The 21,341-nt window shown below is 39.3% G+C and overlaps 1 protein-coding gene across 29 annotated transcripts in view, besides 1 other annotated feature; it reads left to right on the forward strand.

Annotated features, from left to right (window-relative positions):
- The window catches only part of LMO7 (LIM domain 7), a 239,437-nt gene that overhangs the window by 72,921 nt on the left and 145,175 nt on the right, over positions 1 to 21,341 (forward strand). For all 29 annotated transcript variants that reach the window (NM_005358.5, XM_047430323.1, XM_047430329.1 and 26 more), the window contains one exon: positions 19,828 to 19,898. In NM_005358.5, the coding sequence (NP_005349.3) occupies positions 19,828 to 19,898 (71 nt within the window). Of the gene's footprint in view, positions 1 to 19,827; positions 19,899 to 21,341 lie in introns of those variants that run through there.
- Positions 11,691 to 12,890: an enhancer, noted in NCBI's record as "MED14-independent group 3 enhancer chr13:76279181-76280380 (GRCh37/hg19 assembly coordinates)". NCBI's record gives its function as "activates an origin of replication core promoter dependent on BRD2, BRD4, P300/CBP and CDK7 cofactors, and independent of MED14, by STARR-seq in HCT116 cells {active_cell/tissue: HCT116}" and the evidence as "EXISTENCE:reporter gene assay evidence [ECO:0000049][PMID:35650434]".

Below are 21,341 nucleotides of genomic sequence, written 5' to 3' on the forward strand. Positions count from 1 at the left end.
TGTTTCTGGAATATGGGCTTCATTGTGCAGCCATTAAGGAATTCATCAAAATTTCATATCAGCTGTGTGGATCTCCCCTGTCTGTGGCTGCCACCTGGCTCTGCTTCAGGCTGGGGTGATAATTATTTCATGTGGCACTGGGAGCCCTCCTCCCTACCGTCACTGAATCTGTTCTCCTTTTCCTCCGGCTTTTCTGTCTTCTGACTCCATGCTCTGTTCCAGGACATAGGGTAATTATCATTATTCTCTGTTGTGGAGGAAAATATTAGTTAATGCTGGGTTTCAGACTTCTCCTCTCCTGTCAAGGCATTTGTTAGGTCTTTCCTTTCCTGCCAAAGGCTCAGAGTGTTTTCCCCCAGCGTAGGTGCCATCTGTCTGCTCAGGGACTCTTGTTTCTGCATGTGGCCGAGGAGCATGGGTGGCCTGGCTGAGAGGCAGTGAGGCTGGTTTTCTTTCTCACCCTCTCCTCCTCTTTGTGACTGCCTTCTGTGGTTGTTGGGCAGCTCCCCCATCTTGCTGTCTCTCATTGTACCTAAAGTCAACATCTTTTTCCTGATTTGTGCTCTTTAGTCTCTGAACCTTAGTTAAAACTTCTCTGTATGCCTTGAGCAGTAGTCTGTCTTTTCTTTTAATCATTTTGCTTTTAGGGGACCTTAAAATAAAAAAAAAAACTATTTACGAATACTTACTGTCATGCATGTCATACAGTGGGAGAATACAGAAAAAGATGTGTAAAATCTTTATGGAGTTTCCTGACCTCAATAAAGTTTCAATCTAGGACGGAAGAGAAGATGAGCAGATGATGATGCCATAAGGCAGAATGGTGTAACTACTGACTTAGTCTTAGAAAATCCGTGTCACAGAAGTTATGGGGGAGAAAGACTCCCTTTGGGACAGTCATGTTTGGGGCTGACAGGGGAAAGACGTAATTGGAATTGTTAAGATGGAGAAATGAAGGCTCTGGGTTCTTTTGTCTAGGTAAAACCAAGGATTCAGGTGTGAGAATGAAGGGGCGAAGGGGCTCGAAGGTAGGTAGGAAGGCCTCACTCTGCAGGCAGAATGGATCTCTGGAAGGTTTTGAGCAGTGTTTGTTTTTGTGAGGAAGACTGTTTTGATTTTTAAGGAAGAATACAGGCAGGCATTGAAGTGTTAGGGTAGTAGAGGAGATTAAGGCAGAACAATCCATAGGAGAATGTTGAGTGTCACATCTGCCAGAGAAGCCTAGAACCAGAGTGGAGAGAATTACATGGATTTGGAGGGACAGAGAAGGTTCATTCTGATGTTGAGTCTGGGACGTTGGGAGAATGTCGGTATCATGGTTTCAACAGAGAAGTGAGATGTGGTAGCTGAGTCTTGGGTGAGAGGGGAGGTCTGTTTACATGCTGGGAATGAGTTAAGATAAGGGCACTCCAGGGCAAATGCTCACCTGGGAGCAGGAAATGTGAGGAGTGGAGAACCAGAGGACTAACTTGAGGACTAGGGCTTGGAGTTTGTCCTTGAACGAACAAAGTTTGAAACGTTAGAGGAAGAGCACCTAGCCGGTGAGCTCAGGGAGAATCGAAGGAGGGAGTGGCTGGCAAGTCAACCTTCACAGTTTCGAGGGTGAAGCAATCATCCTTGAGGAGCCTCCGGATTAACCCGGGCCCTCCTGCCTCCCACACACTCCGACACACCCCATGGCTCCTGTGTGAATCTTTCTCAGTTTTGCCTCAACATTCAGGCAAGGATCTTCAATTTGTTATGTTCATTTGTCCACCCATATTAACTCCCTTCTGAGCTGTACTTGTAGGCTAGAAGGCAGAATCCATGTATAACCTATACTCATAAGCCTCAGAGAACCCAGCTTCATGAGCTTCTTGGTTGTACCTTCTTGGAGAAGAGAAAGACTTGAGGGTGTTGAGAGGAATCTTAGATGTCTCACTGAATCAAGGTGATTTATATATGTTTGGCTTCTGAACATTTTCTGTGTCAGGATTTTTTCTCCCAAAATGCACACCATTCCATTTTGGAATTTATTTTTATTTTGAGACGGAGTCTCGCTCTGTCGCCCAGGCTGGAGTGCACTCACTGCAACCTCCGCCTCCCGGGTTCAAGCGATTCTCCTGTCTCAGCCTCCTGAGTAGCTGGGACTACTGGCACATGCCACCACACCCAGCTAATTTTTGTATTTTTAATAGAGACGGGGTTTCACCGTGTTGGCTCAGATGGTCTTGATTTCTTGACCTCGTGATCTGCCCGCCTTGGCCTCTCAAAGTGTTGGGATTACAGGCGTGAGCTACCACGCCTGGCCTGGAATGTTTTTAACCCTAGAAAGTTGTTTCATGTTGTGGGCCCCAAAGCTACAACTAACCAGATTGTGTACTTTAATGTGCAAATTTTGCCATGAAAAGTCTCAATCTATTTTAATGCTTCAAAACCAGTTTTGTAGAAACACATCAGAAGCTCTCGTGTATTTAATAAAGCTGACAGACTAGTGGTGTTATATAAAAATCTTCTTCATTTTCACCAACTATTACTTGATGATGTGTTTTAAACTTTGAAATGAGCTGTTTTTGTTGTATGTTTTATGTACCTAGATCTAGCCATTAAAAATAGGGGAAAACTGGTCCCAAGGCTGTTTAGACTGCTGCAGTACTCAGAATGTGCCAGCAGGTGGCAGCAGAGAACAGAAACTGATTTCATGCCTGATTTCCTTACATTTCCAGTAAAGAACCGAAGCTGGCCGGGCGCTGTGGCTCATGCCTGTAATCCCAGCACTTTGGGAGGTCAAGGCGGGTGGATCACGAGGTCAGGAGATTGAGACCAGCCTGGCCAATGTGGTGAAACCCTGTCTCTACTAAAAATACAAAAATGAGCCGGGCATGGTGGTGTGTGGCTGTAGTTCCAGCTACTTGGGAAGCTGAGGCAGGAGAATGGCTTGAACCTGGGAGGCGCAGGTTGCAGTGATCCGAGATTGTGCCATTGCACTCCAGCCTGGGCGACAGAGTGAGACTCCATCTCAAAAAAACAAACAAACAAACAAACAAACAAAAACCCGAAGCATTTAAAGCTGTGAGATGAGATGATGATTTAGTACAAATTGTTTCATATAAGGAAATCAAGTCTCATAAGAACCTTAGATACCCATTCAAAAATCAAGCACCTGTTTATAGAATTGGGACTTAGTAGTAGGTCTCTCAGGTTCTTTCCACTCAAAGTTTTTCAGAGACCATTCTTAGTAAAACCCAGTTAAGGGCCTTCTGGGAGAGGCAGACTTCCAGGTGTCAATCCAGGCCATTTGAATCAGGATTCCTTAGAGGAAGGCTTGGGACCATTATTTGCCCCAAGCTTCCCAAGTGGTTCTTCTACACACTGAACCCTGAGTTAACAGGTGAGTCCTGTCCACAGGGCAGGCGTTATGCTGGGTCTTGAGGATACAAACAAAAAAGCCCATGTATTCCCAAGCTCCCATGCCTGCAGGGGCCAGACAGGTAGACTTGGGGTGGACTGAGCCGAGGGGAGGTGTGGGGACTGCCACTCTCCTGAGAGTGGGTTTTCTCCAGAGCAGCCAGTTGTGGCTATGAGGTAACGCACGTCGAACGTTGCCAGACTGTTTCTTTTTTAAAGGAAGCTGGTGATCCACATTTTTGATCTTTCCCAACGTCGACATACCTTATGGGCCAAACAACACATGTGCACGGGTTGGAACTAGCCTGTGGGCTGTGATATCTTCTTTAGGAGCTTAGATCAGTAAGGGAGCCATGAATGCCAATACACATTCAGATTGGCATGAGGAGAAGGTGGAAGCAGAGAGAGCTAGCCACACTCTGGAAGGAGGTCGGGTGACTTCCTGAAGGCACGTTCTCAAGGCCAAGAAAATTTTTTTTGAAAAACAAACTCATGTATTTGTACGGGTGGTGTATTAGTCCATTCTCATGCTGCTAATAAACACACATCTGAGACTGGGTAATTTATAAAGGAAAGAGGTTTAATGGACTCAGTTCTACATGGCTGGGGAGGCCTCACAATCATGGTGGAAGATGAAGGATGAGCAAAGGGATGTCTTACATGATGGCAGGCAAGAGAGAATGAGAGCCAAACAAAAGAGGAAACCCCTTATAAAACCATCAGATCTCATGAGACTTATTCACTATCACAAGAACAGTATAGGGGAAACTGCCCCCATGATTCAATTATCTCCCACTGGGTCCCTCCCACAACAAGTGGGAATTATGGGAGCTACAATTCACAATGAGATTTGGGTGGGGACACAGCCAAACCATATCAGGCAGTGTCTTCCTTTTCTTTGTTATCTTGAAAGGGAACATGTGTATTGATCTTTTATATTTCTCAATATACCAGAAAGTATTTTAAGATACTATTCTTCATGCTTCAACTTTTATAACCTTTAATCAAATGATTCCAATAAGTGGAAATAAAATTACTACTTGATCAACGGGAAACTAATAATTAGATGCATTGTAGAGCTGTCAGTGTATCTACTTTTGAGATAAATAAGCTGGAAACTTTGTTGAGATCGCTTAAGGCCCTAGAAAGAATCTAGGAAAAACTGTTTCTGCAAGTTGTTTGAGGAAAGCTGATTTCTCCACAATTCTGCCATTGGGAATGTAATTAACTCTCAACAGGGAGTTGGAGAATTCTACAAACCCATTTAATGTGGCCCTCTTTGTGATATCTTTCGTGTGTTTTCAGCTTTGAGACCATACAATTAAAGTGAATTATGGAAAAAGACAATAAATGTACCTGAGAAAACCTTGTCCTGTGGAATTATTTATATATAATGCAAAGATGAAACACTTAAGATAGATGCAAATATATGAAAGGAGGAAATATCAGAATTTCATATTAAAATATTTCTGGATATAAAGTAGCTGGGGTAGAAATTCCACTTTGCAAATTAAGACCTATTCTTGTGAAAAAAATATAAATACATATATGTAATATAATATACTTATATATTTTTAAGAGATAGGGTCTAGCTGTGTTGCTCAGGCTAGAGTGCAGTGGCAGGATCATAGCTTACTGCAGTCTTGAACCTCCTGGATTCAAGGAATCCTCCTGAGTAGTTGGGACTACAGACATGTGCCCCCTCACCTGGTTAATTTTTTAATTTTTTGTAGAGATGGCTTCTCACTATGTTGCTCAGGCTGATCTGGAACTCCTGGCTTCAAGTGATCCTTCTACTTGGCCTCCCAAAGTGCTGGAATTACAGATGTGAGACATTTCATCTGGCCAAAATATATTTAAGTTTTTTTTTTTTTTTTCGGGGAGGGGTAGGCATTTAGAGTACAGGAATCATTTAAATAGCTTAACTTCTGTTGAACTTCTTTTGTATATGGGGCATGAGATGGTGCGAAAGGTCTTTGTAACTATCTTTTAAAAAGTTACCTTTATTGAGTTTGAACAAAATGCACAAATGTCTCAGTGTACAGTTCAAATAAATTTTTTAAAAAAACATTTATTGAGATATAATTCACATACTATACAATTCACTCTTTTAAAGTATATAATTCAGTGGCTTTTAATATATTCACAGAATTGCCGAGCCATCACCACATCTAATTTCAAAACATTTTCACCAAAGAAAACATGTATTCATTAGCAGTCACTCTCCATTCTCTCTCTCCCCTAGCCCCTGACAACCATTAATCTGCTTTTTGTTCCTAGGATTACCTTATTCTGGACATTTCACGTAAATAGAATAATACCATATTTGGTCTTTTTTTACCTTAACCCTAATGTTTTCAAGATTTATTTATGTGATGGCATGTATTAGTACAGTAGTGTTCCCTTATCAGGAAGTACGTTTCCTGATACAAGGAATGTGTTCTAAGACTCCCCCAGTAGGTGCCTGAAACTGAGGAAAGTACCAAACTTGACTGCTGTCAATCAGAACATATTTCTGTTCCTGTCTTCCACTCACAGATTTAATGTCTTTTCCATCTTAGCACCTGTCATGCACTGTGGTCATAAGTTTTGCAGTTTGAGGTGTGACAACCAAAACTAGCATGAATTTCTTTCTCTTTCTTTACAATTTCCAAGATAGAAGATTTTTTTTTTTTTTTTTTACTGTAGTATCAAGGGAACCAGCCCCCAATATTTCAATGTAGGTTATTTTCTATTTTCCCTAAGTGTCGGCCGGTCTGAGAAATAAATAAGAAATTTTACAGCTGGGTCTCCGGGGGTGACATCACATGTTGACAGGTTCTGTGATGCCCCCAAGCTGCAAAACCAACACGTCTTTATTAGGGGTTTCAAAAGGGGAGGGAGTGTACGAATAGGGCGTGGGTCACAGAGATCGCATGCTTCAGAAGGCAATAAAATATCACAAGGCAAATGGGGGCAGAGCAAGATCACAAGGCCAGGGTGAAATTAGAATTGCTGATGAGGTTTCATGTCCCACTGTGCACCCATTGTCATTGATAAACATCTTAACAGGAAACAGGGTTCAAGAGCAGAGAACTGGTCTGACTAGAATTCGCCAGGCTGGAATTTCTTAATCCTAGCAAGCCTGGGGGCGCTGCAGGAGACCAGGGCGTATTTTATCCCTTATCTTCAACTGCATAAGACAGACACTCCCAGAGCGGCCATTTTAGCGGCTTCCCCCAGGAATGCATTCTTTTCCCAGGGCTGTTCCTTGCTGAGAAAAAGAATTCAGTGATATTTCTCCTATTCGCTTTTACAAGAAGAGAAATATGACTCTGTTCTGCCCGGCCCTGCAGGCAGTCAGGCCTTATGGTTATCTCCCTTGTTTCCTGAACATCGCTGTTATCCTGTTCTTTTAGGATGCCCAGATTTCATATTGTTCAAACACACATGTTTTACAAACAATTTGTACAGATAACACAATCATCACAGGGTCCTGAGGCGACATACATCCTCAGCTTATGAAGATGATGGGATTAAGAGATTAAAGTAAAGACAGGCATAGGAAATTATAAGAGTATTGACTGGGGAAGTGATAAATGTCCATGAAATCTTCACAATTTATGTTCAGAGATTGCAGTAAAGACAGGCCTAAGAAATTATAAAAGTATTCATTTGGAGAACTAATAAATGTACATGAAATCTTCACAATTTATGTTCTTCTGCCGTGGCTTCAGCTGGTCCCTCTGTTCAGGTTCCCTGACTTCCTGCAATACTGTAGATCTTAGCAACCTCAGCATATGATTGTTTTCCTTATTAAGTCAAGAACTTTCACCTTTTCACTTAAAGGGAGTACTTGATAGCTTCTCTTTGGCATTTTGGAATTGCCAGCATCACTACTCTTTGTGCTTTGGCACCATTATTAGGTCAACCATGGGTGACTTGAACACAAACACTGTGGTCAACAGCCGATCTGCAAACCAAGAAGACTGCTAAGAGACTCATGGGCAGGGAGCACATGCAGTGTGAATATGCTGGACAAAGGGACAGTTCACAGAGGGGGACACAGCAGAATGGCTTGAGATTTCATCACACTATGCAAAACAATGCGCAATTTAAAACTTAAGAATTGTTTATTTCTGAAATCTTCCTTTTAATATTTCTGGACTGTGGTTGACTGTGGGTAACTGCAACTACAGAAAGTGGAACCATGGAAGCAGACCACTGTACTTCATTCCAGTGATTGCTGAATCATATTCCATTGTGTATTTACACCATGTTCTATTTGTTCATTCATCAGTTCATGGACATTTGGGTAGTTTCCACTTTTTGGCTGTTATGAACATTCATATACAAGTTTTTGTGTGGAGGTATGCTTTCATCTCATTTGGGTATGCACTAGGAATAGATTGTAGTGACCTTTTTGCTTCTGGAAGGTTGACATGTAGTGACCTTTTTGCTTCTGGAAGGTTGACAGATGGACTTCGTTGTTGTTGGCTTGCAGTGGGAATCCATCAAGAATTATTGCAGGAATTCTTGTGTAACTGGGCGTCTCAGCCGCATTACTTAATAATACCAAACTTAAACTGGATAGTAAAGTATATCATAGGTAGCAAGGGCGTAACTGTCAGTTTGAAGTTTATGTGAAATAAGCAGTGACTCTTACATGTGATAGAGATGTACCATTTCCCAAAATGAATGTGATCCCACAGCGATGCCTTTCCTAGTAATTCACAGGGAGGTAAGTAGGTAATTGTTGAGACTTGCTAATGTGTGTGTGAAACATTTCTGCAAAAAATGACGCCATCTTTTTGCTGTTGAGAACCCATGATTATATTAAGCATTTGAACTATACTTAAAATATCCTGATAATGATTGTTCACATCTACTTGTGCCTTGTGTGGTAGTTATTTAAAAACTCCTTAATCTAGAAAAAAATAATTTAAGGCTAGACTTTTTTCCCTTAGGATATTTTCCTTATTGTCTGCAACAATATAATTTGGAGTATAAACCTGTGTTTATAGACAAAATGCAATGTCCTCATTAGAAGTGATTTTTGTGATTGTTAACATAATGAAGCATAGGCTGTAAAACTAGCACATTTTGTATGTGTTTTCGGTGAACTTACCTGGCCCCTAATAGGACTCAGGTTGTCTTGGATTTTGATGGATTGATGAAACCTTGTACATAAATTGCCAGTCCTGGAACCAATCTTCCTTCATTTCTTCCCTGTTTTATTTAGTTTTTCTTCCAGTTGTATTTCATTTTTGGCTTGTTAATAATTGTGGTTTAGTAAAAATAACTTGAGACTGTAAGCTAAAAGTTGGCTATGGTCTAGGGAAGTGGGCTTCTTCTCGTGGACTAGAAATGTTTAAACTTATTCTTTTTTTTTTCCCTCAAAATATGAGTGCAACTGACATCTGGTTTAACGATGATTGAGTGAGAATTTTGAGTGTTTATAAAGACAGTTAGCTTTTAATTATCTGGGCACACAACCCGGAGCATTGCATTTTGCTGGCTGTTTCCCTGCTCCTTCCTTCTGGCTCTGTGAAGACTTGTTGGCCTTCCCCAAGAGAAGGTGAAGTTGGAAGTGTAACTGACCCCAGCCACTCTGAGATGAAAGTTGGGGTAGCAGGCAGAAGGGTAGGAGAAATGTTTAGACTTTTGACCACTGTGAGACTTTTGGGTTCCATCTAGAATTCAGGGATCTGTGCAGTTCTGATTACCACTATCTTGGAAGACTGCGAGTTGGCTTTGGTTTTGCTATCAAATGATATTAGTATTGGCAAAAATAGTCCTAGTATACTCCCCAATATTATGTAGTACAATGCCAAATCTTAATAGAAATGAGTGACTTGAGAATTACCCCTTAAAGGAATGTTATTTGCTGAATATACAATATAAGTTTACCAAGAACATGGTGTAATTCAGTGGGTTAACCACATATGCCATTTTGACTACAATTTCAAAACAGGGTTAGAATTTTAAAGAGGAAGTTCCAAGAATTGCTTCATTTTACTTTTTATATTCCTAGTGCTGTGCACCATGTCAGGTATGTATATAGCAGGTTGTCATTAAATAATTTTTGAATGAATGAATAAATGAATGCTTTCTTTGTATCTTAGTTAAAATTAAGACAGATTATTTAAATGAAAAGTTAAACTCTAACATATTCTTTAACCTGGAAAGATTTTCATGTAGCAAATTAATAGTGGTGACAAGCTTTCAACTTTGAAGGTTTCATCCAACCATATAGTCTTTCAAAAAGTATCACTAGAGTGATATACTTTCATGTACTCTTGTATGTTTTTATTCTTGAGCTACTGACAAAACTAGGATGGGTTTTCTCCTGTGCAGTAGAAGGCTACTTTAATAAAGTGATGTCAAGAACTGAGGAAGGCTCTTCCTCCAAAACACAACCAACTCCCTCATCCCCCCCAACACACACCTGAAATTTAATCATCTGTTTGGTCTTTTTGTTTGTTTGTTTTTTATTCCTATAAATTAGTAAATAGCAACTATTTATAGGAAGAATAATTTGATTTAAAAGTGATGAGGGTGTGTAAGCTGTATTTCAGCCAGTGAGAAGTTGGGTAAGAGCCTCCTGCTCTTGGGAGTATGCAGTGTAGACTGGAATGACTGGGGGAATAGGAGGTAAGTCACTAATTACAGTTTAGAGTTCCCTGAGTGCTTTCACAGACACTCTCATTTGATGCTCAATGCGCTGATATATAGAGAACTACCTACTGGTCTAGGTCTCAAGTCCAGTAACCTTGTTGTAGCTCAATTTCCTCATGTGTAAACCAGGGGTAAGAGATGCTACCACATAGGGTTGCTACAAAGATTCAGGCCCAAAGCAGACAGTGTAAGTGAGTGTTGGCTGACATAACTCGGGTTCCTGTTTTATAGCTGAGGCCTTGAGAAGTTAGGAGACAGTCTTCATTATCCAAGGAGTCTGGTACTTCCATCTCAGCTTCTCTGACTTCAGGTTCTTTGTGTGTGTGTGTGTGTGTGTGTGTGCACTGTGAGGACAGTTTAAAAAGTGCAAAACCCATCCTTTTGTGAAGAACTGGCTTCTCTGACATCATGAATGACTTTTTCAATCATTCTATTCAGGGACAGGAAAGAGGTAGGAGATATTTATTCCATTTAAATTATGTTCTGTTTTTACCTAATGTGTTTATGGTAAGCCATAATCCTTGCATTTGTAAGTTTTTGGTATTTGTAACCAATGAGATCTGTCAAAGATGTTGCATCATAAATAATGATGTGGACATCTTATGGAATTTATTATAAAAATTTGATGTGTTTTGTGGAGTCATGGAGATCATATAATGGTTGTTTCGACAATGAAGTTTAATGAACGGAGTAAAGAAGGGTGTTTTTAATTGATTGACAGCTTTAGAGAAGGCATCCAGCTCCTCCTGTATACCAGCCTGGGGCTTCTCCCTGCGGAAAAATGCCCTGTACTATCTCATTATAAGGTCATGATACGTGAACACTTAGTTATCTCCCTGAATGAAAAATTATGGCAAACATGGCTCTTGGGAATTGTTTCATGATGTGGTTCGTCTGTACCACAGTGGTTTCTAACGTAAATGTTTGTTGGGATATTTTTGTTTCTCATTACTAATGTTGAAATGATTGGTGTGATGATGGTTTGTATCTTAAGTATCATGACCTAGTAGCTGATCTGTCAATTAGTAAGTAACTTAATTTGGAATCAACTGTGAGCCCAGTTGAAGCTCACAGCCTAATGTTTGTCAGCAAACCCCTCTCCCCAGCTTTGAATACAAGCTCAAACAATGTTTTTCTTTTTGCACAGGGGTTTGCACACAAATATGGTGGAGAGTGCTTTTGGGATTCTAGGCACCTTTTAAATGGCTGCTTAAAAGAAATTGAAAAAGTTAAACGAGAGAAGTGCCTGCTGACTCGCATTAGTGGGCATTTTGCTGATAACCAGTCTGGTATGAAGTGGTCTTCAAGAAGCTCCCAGAATGTTTGGGATTTAAGTCATGTGGATTATGCGATCAGAACTGGAACTGAGCGATAGAGCTTCAGAGAAACTTGTTGTTTACATTGGCAAGAAATCTTATCCAGCAAGAGGATTAAAATAAAACCATGACCAAAACAGTAAAGGGTGTGAAGATAATTCCCATTTGCTTATGAAATGAATACACCTCATAGCTAAAGAAATGGGGTTTTTTGAAATTTATATACTTGGCAATTATTGCCTTAATATTTATCTGATAGATATTTTCTTCTACAGAACCTGTTTTTTAATAACTTCCTATCAAGGGCTTCTTCGGAGGCCACAGGTGGTAAGACAGGTTTGGCAGAGGTGTTGGTGCGGAATATGCCCTCGGGAGGCCGCTCCGCCCTTCATATGCTCGGGTAGGCTAATTACAACCTCAGAGGAAGCCCCAAGGGCCTCACACTTGGCGCAGTCGCTTCCTAGCTTCTTTGCCACAGGATGGCTGGAAGCACGAGCCTACACTGGGATATGTAGGCTTTTTTCCCAGAGGAGTCGAAATGCCTTCACAAGTCACTTGTGTACTATGAAGTAGATAGGGCAAATATTAATTTCCCTTTTAAAATTAAGGGACTGAGTGGTGATTTAAAAGTGTATCATGTGAGATAGGTCCAGGATTAAACCTGAGGTATTCTCTCCTGATGTGTATCTCTTCAGATTATTTTAGGTGGGGATGATTTTATTTAACTGCCTTAGGAAAATAAGGAAAGGGGCAAACAAGAAAGAGAAGAAAAAATTGTATACAAGGCAGGGTGTGGCTGTTTGACTACATAGTCATCACTCCTGTTTGTGTTGACTTTTGATAACTTAAGTGGGAAACATGTGGTCTCTATTTATGTGGTTCCTATGAATCACAACAGCATTACGTGAAATGTGTCACACCTTAAATAACTTGCTAATGAGTAAGGTTCAAAATTATAGAAAAACTGAATGAGTAATTGTTAGATTAGAACTACTAAACAGTTCTTTTAAAATACTGTAATTTCTTTCAGAATACTGAATTCTCAACATAAGAATGAGTTCACATTTAAAGTGTGATTTATTCTTATTTTTAAACAACCTACTTTCACTATGTTTTGAGATGGTTTGTAGATTTATAACTTTTGCAATGTTGTCAGAAGACAGAAAGTAATTTAATAACTCAGTTTCTTCCTTTAAATAAAGGATGTTGCATCTGGCAAAACAGACATTTATCTGCTAAGATGCAGCTTCTTACTTTCATTCTACAGATGGATAGTAACAGGTAATAATAACAGCTAGCATTTGTGAGTGCTTGTCTTGGGTCAGGCAAGTGCTAAGTGTTTCATGCATATTATCTCATTTAATTCTCACCATAACCCTTTGAGATGGGTACATTTAATCTCCATTTCACAAATGGGATAACTAAGATGTTATGTAGCTTGTTCAGAATTGCAGGTAGAAAGTGGCAGAGCAGGGCTTTAAACCCAGGCATCCTAATTCCAGTGCCCCTACTTGGCCTCAACAGGCCACCATTGACATCATGTTGTGACCTTAAGGTAAGTAGCTGAGGCAGCCTCTGTAGACCTAATAGTCCTGCTATAAAATTGTGCTTTCTTTTTTTGGTTTTAAACTCATAAAAAATTTTTGTTTTATTTTAGGGGGAGTCTTAGGTGAGTTTACAATTATATGGTATAAGAGTTGCTAATTAAAAAATCAGATTTTTCGAGTTATTGAGGTTGGAGTAGCTAGTATGTGCAGTACAAATGTTTTATAATGCTTGTGAAAATGCCCACAGAACTGTTAAAACATTTAAAGAGAACTTATCTTATACTGAAATTTAGAGTATTATATTTTTATTATCTTCCTCTGTCTCTCACACCTACACCCATGCACACACACAGTCATTATGTGTTAACACATCTTTTTATCCAGGAAAATTGGATGAAAAGATTAACTGAACATTTTTATTTACTGATCTACCTTCTATACCCTTAACAGAGGAGGATTATTTTTGAAGCTGTATTATGTTGTAAAATACCCTAATTTTAAAATATCTAAATAGATTGAAGATAATTTAATTTTTGTAGCCTAAAAATACTTTAGAGTCTAATGTAGTTGAGTTACTCTTTTACTGAGTACTTATAAAATGCTGTTGGTTTTTGGTGTCTGTTTCATGTGGGAGGTTTTGTAACTTTCTAGAAAGTTAAACGTTCTGAGCCTCGAATTTCATACTAGTGAAATGGAGATAATAATAAGGATTATTAAATTTAAGATTGTGTGGATTGCATAGATAATAAGAAAAATTACCTAGGACAAAAACTGGTGTCAGCCTCTTCTATTCTTTGTTCCTTTAGGTATGGGAGATTTAGTAAATTGACCTAAATCTGATTGGTTTTGGCTTCTTCTGAATGTTGTTCTTTTATATTAATAAATTTATTTATAAATTTATATATAAACACCTGTAGTCTTTAAAGAATATAAACAAAAGATAACATTAAAAATAAGTGTAATTCTACAACTTAGGAATAATTACTGTTAGTATATTTATTCCATGTTTACTTATGATACATTCTTATAGAGTTATAGAAATTGGGATTATACTCCCAATTTTTCATAAACTTTCCCAATTTTTCATAAATTGCTTTTTAAATAATATTCTTTACAAGTAATAAATCCACTTTTATGACATGAATTTCAATTTCATGTCATTTTCTGTTTTATGGCTATATCATAATATAATCAAGTTCTTATTGCTGGGCATTCAGGTTATTTGTAATTGTTGCTATTTATTCTACAGAACGCCATGAAACAATTCTGTTCTGTGTGCCTGTCCTGTTGTCCTAGTATAAATTCCTAGATCCTGCACCTAGGAGAATATGCATATTTAAGACTTCTGATACATACCACAAATTACCTTCTAGAATTGTGGTAACATTTTATATTACCTTCAGTGGTGTACAGGGCATGCCAGATTGCCACGTCTTCAAAATATAAGCTATTATTTAAAACCTTTGTTTAGTTTTTATATTGTCTTTTTTTAAAAAAATATATAAATACTGTACAAATGGAATTTGGTCTTTTATCATCATTATTTAGATTTTGGAAAGTACGTAAGTACAAGAGTACATCAATATTTAGATATATGAGGGGGTCTTCAGACCCCCTCATATATCTACACATGATCTTGCCTTTCTATCATCTTTTTGGGGGAGATGAACCATTATGGATAGTTGGGTTTTCTGAATAGCTTTGAATATTCCATTTTGCCCACTTTATTAAAGGATATTCTAAATATAACTAACTCAGCCATGTCTATATGATGCGGAGGTGTGTTTCTGAGGATTAATTGTTGGAGTATTGTCAGAGTGGTAACTTCAGGGTTGATGCATATAAGGAGGTTTGGCATGTACTGTTTAACCACCCTCAAGAACTTGATTGCACATTTCAGCCACTACAAACTAATAAGCAGGTGATATTTTCCCTGCTTCAGGTGAGCACACTGGGGTGCAGAGAGGTTATGTAACTTGCTTAAGATCACACAGTTATTAGGTAGTGAATGTGGAATTTGAACTTGCTTTGGTCAGACTTCAGTTCTTTTTCTTTCCATTTTGCCACTTGCTACATGCTGCCCTCTTGATTGGCCCTTTCATTGCTGTTGACTGTCATTCTTCACTGCTATCCGGTGTCTGCAGGACACAGCCCTTCTTTCTTGTAAATCACTGCTTTGAATCTATATTGATTTGGGAATGGAATTGCCAGATTATAAGTGTCAGTGGCTCTGAGGGGCTTTGCTATGACTAGAGAGAATGGGCTTTAGCATCTGCGTTGGATGTTTCTGGGCCTATTTCATGCTTTTTGGCTATGCGTAGGAGTTTCCAGATGAAGGACATGTTACAACGTTTTCTATAGTTGAGATCTGCACTCCCCTTGAGTTTGTTTTGGAACAATTTGGGGAAAATTCAAAAGAGTTTCTCTTGCACAGGTTGGTGGGATAATCCAGGGTCCTTTCAGTTATTTTCAGAAGAATATGCCATTCTCTTTGGGTATGTTTAACTGTGCTTTAAACATTACATTTTTCTTTTTTATTTATTTATTTATTATACTTTAAGTTTTAGGGTACATGTGCACAACGTGCAGGTTAGTTACATATGTATACATGTGCAATGTTGGTGTGCTGCAGCCATCAGCTCGTCATTTAACATTAGGTATATCTCCTAATGCTATCCCTCCCCGCTCCCCCCACCCCACAACAGGCCCCGGTGTGTGATGTTCCCCTTCCTGTGTCCATGTGTTCTCATTGTTCAGTTCCCACCTATGAGTGAGAACATGCGGTGTTTGGTTTTTTGTCCTTGCGATAGTTTGCTGAGAATGATGGTTTCCAGCTTCATCCATGTCCCTAAAAAGGACATGAACTCATCATTTTTTATGGCAGCATAGTATTCCATGGTGTATATGTGCCACACTTTCTTAATCCAGTCTATGATTGTTGGACATTTGGCTTGGTTCCTAGTCTTTGTTATTGTGAAAAGTGCCGCAATAAACATACGTGTGCATGTGTCTTTATAGCAGCATGATTTATAATCCTTTGGGTATATACCCAGTAATGGGATTGCTGGGTCAAATGGTATTTCTACTTCAAGATCCCTGAGGAATCACCACACTGACTTCCACAATGGTTGAACTAGTTTACAGTCCCACCACCAGTGTAAAAGTGTTCCTATTTCTCCATATCCTCTCCAGCACCTGTTGTTTCCTGACTTTTTAATGATTGCCATTCTAACTGGTGTGAGATGGTATCTCATTGTGGTTTTGATTTGCATTTCTCTGATGGCCAGTGATGATGAGCATTTTTTCATATGTCTTTTGGCTGCATAAATGTCTTCTTTTGAGAAGTGTCTGTTCATATCCTTTGCCCACTTTTTGATGGGGCTGTTTGTTTTTTTTCTTGTAGATTTGTTTGAGTTCATTGTAGATTCTGGATATTAGCCCTTTGTCAGATGAGTAAGTTGCAAAATTTTCTCCCATTCTGTAGGTTGCCTGTTCACTCTGATGGTAGTTTCTTTTGCTGTGCAGAAGCTCTTTAGTTTAATTAGATCCCATTTGTTAATTTTGGCTTTTGTTGCCATTGCTTTTGGTGTTTTAGACATGAAGTCCTTGCTGATGCCTATGTCCTGAATGGTATTGCCTAGGTTTTCTTCTAGGGTTTTTATGGTTTTAGGTCTAACATTTAAGTCTTTAATCCTTCTTGAATTAATTTTTGTATAAGGTGTAAGGAAGGGATCCAGTTTCAGCTTTCTACATATGGCTAGCCAGTTTTCCCAGCACCATTTATTAAATAGGGAATCCTTTCCTCATTTCTTGTTTTTGTCAGGTTTGTCAAAGATCAGATAGTTGTAGATATGCGGCATTATTTCTGAGGGCTCTGTTCTGTTCCATTGGTCTATATCTCTGTTTTGGTAGCAGTACCATGCTGTTTTGGTTACTATAGCCTTGTAGTATAGTTTGAGGTCAGGTAGCGTGATACCTCCAGCTTTTTTCTTTTGGCTTAGGATTGACTTGGCAATGCAGGCCCTTTTTTGGTTCCATATGAACTTTAAAGTAGTTTTTTCTAATTCTGTGAAGAAAGGCATTGGTAGCTTGATGGGGATGGCATTGAATCTATAAATTACCTTGGGCAGTATGGCCATTTTCATGATATTGATTCTTCTATCCATGAGCATGGAATGTTCTTCCATTTGTTTGTATCCTCTTTTATTTCATTGAGCAGTGGTTTGTAGTTCTCCTTGAAGAGGTCCTTCACATCCCTTGTAAGTTGGATTCCTAGGTATTTTATTCTCTTTGAAGCAATTGTGAATGGGAGTTCACTCATGATTTGGCTCTCTGTTTGTCTGTTATTGGTGTATAGGAATGCTTGTGATTTTTGCACATTGATTTTGTATCCTGAGACTTTGCTGAAGTTGCCTATCAGCTTAAGGAGATTTTGGGCTGAGATGATGGGGTTTTCTAGATATACAATCATGTCATCTGCAAACAGGGACAATTTGACTTCCTCTTTTCCTAATTGAATGCCCTTTATTTCCTTTTCCTGCCTGATTGCCCTGGCCAGAACTTCCAACACTATGTTGAATAGGAGTGGTGAGAGAGGGCATCCCAGTCTTGTGCCAGTTTTTAAAGGGAATGCTTCCAGTTTTTGCCCATTCATTATGATATTGTCTGTGGGTTTGTCATAGATAGCTCTTATTATTTTGAGATACGTCCCATCAATACCTAATTTATTGAGAGTTTTTAGCATGAAGCGTTGTTGAATTTTGTCAAAGGCCTTTTCTGCATCTATTGAGATAATCATATGGTTTTTGTCATTGGTTCTGTTTATATGCTGTATTACGTTTATTGATTTGCATATGTTGAACCAGCCTTGCATCCCAGGGATGAAGCCCAGTTGATCATGGTGGATAAGCTTCTTGATGTGCTGCTGGATTCGGTTTGCCAGTATTTTATTGAGGATTTTTGCATTGATGTTCATCAGGGATATTGGTCTAAAATTCTCTTTTTTGGTTGTGTCTCTGCCAGGCTTTGGTATCAGGATGATGCTGGCCTCATAAAATGAGTTAGGGAGGACTCCCTCTTTTTCTATTGATTAGAATAGTTTCAGAAGGAATGGTACCAGCTCCTCCTTGTACCTCTGGTAGTATTTGGCTGTGAATCCATCTGGTCCTGGACTTTTTTTGGTTGGTAAGCTATTAATTATTGCCTCAATTTCAGAGCCTGTTATTGGTCTATTCAGAGACTCAATGCCGTCTGTCACCCCTGTCTTTGACTAGGAAAGGGATTTCCCGGACCCCTTGTGCTTCCTGGGCGAGACGATGCCTCGCCCTGCTTCGGCTCACGCTCGGTGCGCTGCACCCCCCCTGTCCTGCACCCACTCCCCAGTGAGAGGAAGCCAGTACCTCAGTCGGAAATGCAGAAATCACCCGTCTTCTGCGTCGCTCACGCTGGGAGCTGTAGACTGGAGCTGTTCCTATTTGGCCATCTTGGCTCCACCCCCTACATTTTTCTTATGAGGCTGTGGGCTCCCTGATGGAAGAGCTGCCTGCCTTCAAAACGTGTTTTTTCTTTCGGTAAATTCCTACCCAGCATTCAGGTAATGCCTGTAACAGACACTCAGCCTTTGTTTAAGTAAAGCAGCAGTGCAGCCCTTCTGTAGATTAATGGCAAGTATAGGAAGGATCTACCTCTTCCTGAGTTTGAGCATGTTGCCTCCTGGCCCAGGCTCCTGTCCAAATGTATAGACCAACCTCTGAGAAACACAACCATTATTTTGTCAGTTAACAGATATCATGTCTAGCTGCAGCGATGTTGGGCACTGTGGAGAGATGCAGAATGAAGATACATAGGGATTCTAGGGGGACCGTGAAGCTGGCAGTAGTGAGGATAGCTGGGGGATGGTGGTAAAGGTCCCTTCGTTGAGCCCTGGAGCCAACCTGGGATTTAAGATTGGTGACTTTCCAGTTCAGGATATCAGAAATGTATTTCTTTCTGAAGTGGCAGGTGGAGCAGGGACTACTCCTGTTTTTACGTGGTGGCTGCATCTCCAGGACAGCTGGTGTCACTGCTGTTGGTCCCTGCCCTCCCCTTGAGCTGGGACTCAGTCCCAGGGGTTGTTCTTAGGGCAGCTTTTTTCCCACTGTGACCTTCATTTTCTCTGCTACTATTTCCCCTGTGGAATCCCCTTTTCTATCCCAGCCACCTCCCCCTTCAGAGAGAGAATCTAGAGATTTTTCTAGAGGTTTCACCAACATTATTGGTGGTGGTAACTGCATGTGCCTGTTCCTTTGTAATTCCTTAAGTTGGGAATTGTCTGTTTAAAATATTCACCATCTCACCTCTCTTTCTTTTGTCTCTCTGCGCCAGGATTTAATAGTCTTCTCCCCAGGATGTTTCAATAAATGGCTCTTTACATCAATTAGGACGATTTCATAAATAAGTTTAAGAAGTGTCATGCCCTCTGCTGTTTAGCTTTGTAATGAAATTTGAGGAATATAAAGATGGAATTGAAATTAATGATAGTGTATTCAGTGTCGTTGGTATCTTGAGTTTCTATCTTATACTGTTTTTATTCATTCTTAGTAGAATAGATCACCCATAGGTTTTTAAAAAATATATAAAATATGTTGAAAATTTAGTTTAGCTCTTTTGTGTATCATCCAATAAAATGATTATATTACTGAAAACACTCATTGTAATTTTTTCCTGCATATATTTGTCATACTAAAATGGCTAAACTATCTCTTTGTAATATAAAACAGACAGTACATATTCCTATAAGGAACAGATTATAGGATATAACAGTCTATATATGCAAATCCTTCAAGTATAACATTAAATGCATATTAATTAATCTAATACTGAATTGGACTTGTGTGCTATCCCTGCTTAAGAGAAAATTAACAACCAAACCTATCTTTCAGGCAGTAACAGAGAAGAATTTTGAAACAAAAGATTTTCGAGCCTCTCTAGAAAATGGTGTTCTGCTGTGTGAGTAAGTATTTAAAGTATTTAAAAAATAATTCAAAAGCAAAGATATGTGTGTGTGTGAGTGATGAGGTGTTTGGCTCCTCCCATGGCCACCGTAGTCACAGATATGTGTTCTTGGTCACAGGTGAGATTTGATCCCTGCAAATTGATACCTCACAATACGAGACAGTAGGAAGAAGGGGTTATCAGTCTCTGTATCTAAAGATAGCACTGGTAAAATATATATTATTTTTAATTAGTAAACAAGAAAGATTCTATTGCATGGTGGGCCAGTGGGGGGTGGGTGATTGAGAAGGAAGCCTTATGACATGTTACCATTGATCTCTTAGTCTGAATATTCTAATGGGTAGAATTGCCTGGTTTGGAAGTTAATACACAAAATCTTTGCTTCATCAATAAATCATGATGATTGGAGTGGTAGATTTTTCCTTTAAGCTTTAAGTGGAGTCATTACATTACCAAAATCAATTTGAGTTGTGGACCATTCATTCAATTAATAGACACCATTGAGAACCACACCCCAGACTTTGCTTACAAAGAAGTAAGATAGGCTAGTACCATGATTGATAGTATAAGGCCTACATTGTATGTGTAGTGTAATATTTTGTTCCCCAATGGATGCATAGTACAGTTAGTCAAGTATATGAACTTTGGGAATAAGGGAGAGGCAGGCCTGTGAGGCATAAGGATGAAATCCTGGGTGAAGGTAGAGGTTGCAGAAGCGAGCAAATAAATTCTAAGAATGTACTTGAGTACTCACCCACATTTTTGAAAGCACTTAATTATTTCAATCTAGACACTTATCGCACAGGTATTTATGCTATCTGTCCACATGTAAGCAGTGAGAGTGTATACACTAGTACTTAGAGATTTTGATTATCCTTTTGAAGGAGTTGTTTGCAGCAAAAGGTCTGGAGTCAAAGGGCCTAGGTTAGATTTCTTGCTCCATTATTTTTGGACCTTTGAATAAGTGACCTCACATCTTTGAACATTTGACCAAGTGATTTAACATTTGAGCCTTATTTTCTCATCGGTAAAGTAGAGATCAAGGTATCTGATGTGCCTAATTCACAGAGTTGCTGAGTTCAACAATATATATTTTAAGGTTTTTATAAACGATCAAACTTTGTATATATACAAGTTGTTGCTAGATGATGGGCATGTAAATAACAGTCTATCTTGTCAGCTCTGTTGGCAAGTGTTCAAAGTTCTTTGTCTTAAGGTGATATTATTAATTTTGTTCCATATGAAGTTGCTGATATTTAACCATTTGTGACCTAAAGAAGTGTCAATTTCGTGTGGTTTCACCTAACGTATAGGTGACATGTATAGGACACACATGTGAATAAGGGCCAGGAATAAAGTTCAAAGTGTGTTTCTTGTCGTCTTCCAATGTCACATTCATTGGAATGTGAATAGTGTTTCAATTAGTTTGACAATGAGTCAA

The sequence above is a fragment of the Homo sapiens genome, chromosome 13 (assembly GCF_000001405.40).
Source record: "Homo sapiens chromosome 13, GRCh38.p14 Primary Assembly".
In the NCBI taxonomy this organism is placed as follows: Eukaryota; Metazoa; Chordata; class Mammalia; order Primates; family Hominidae; genus Homo; species Homo sapiens.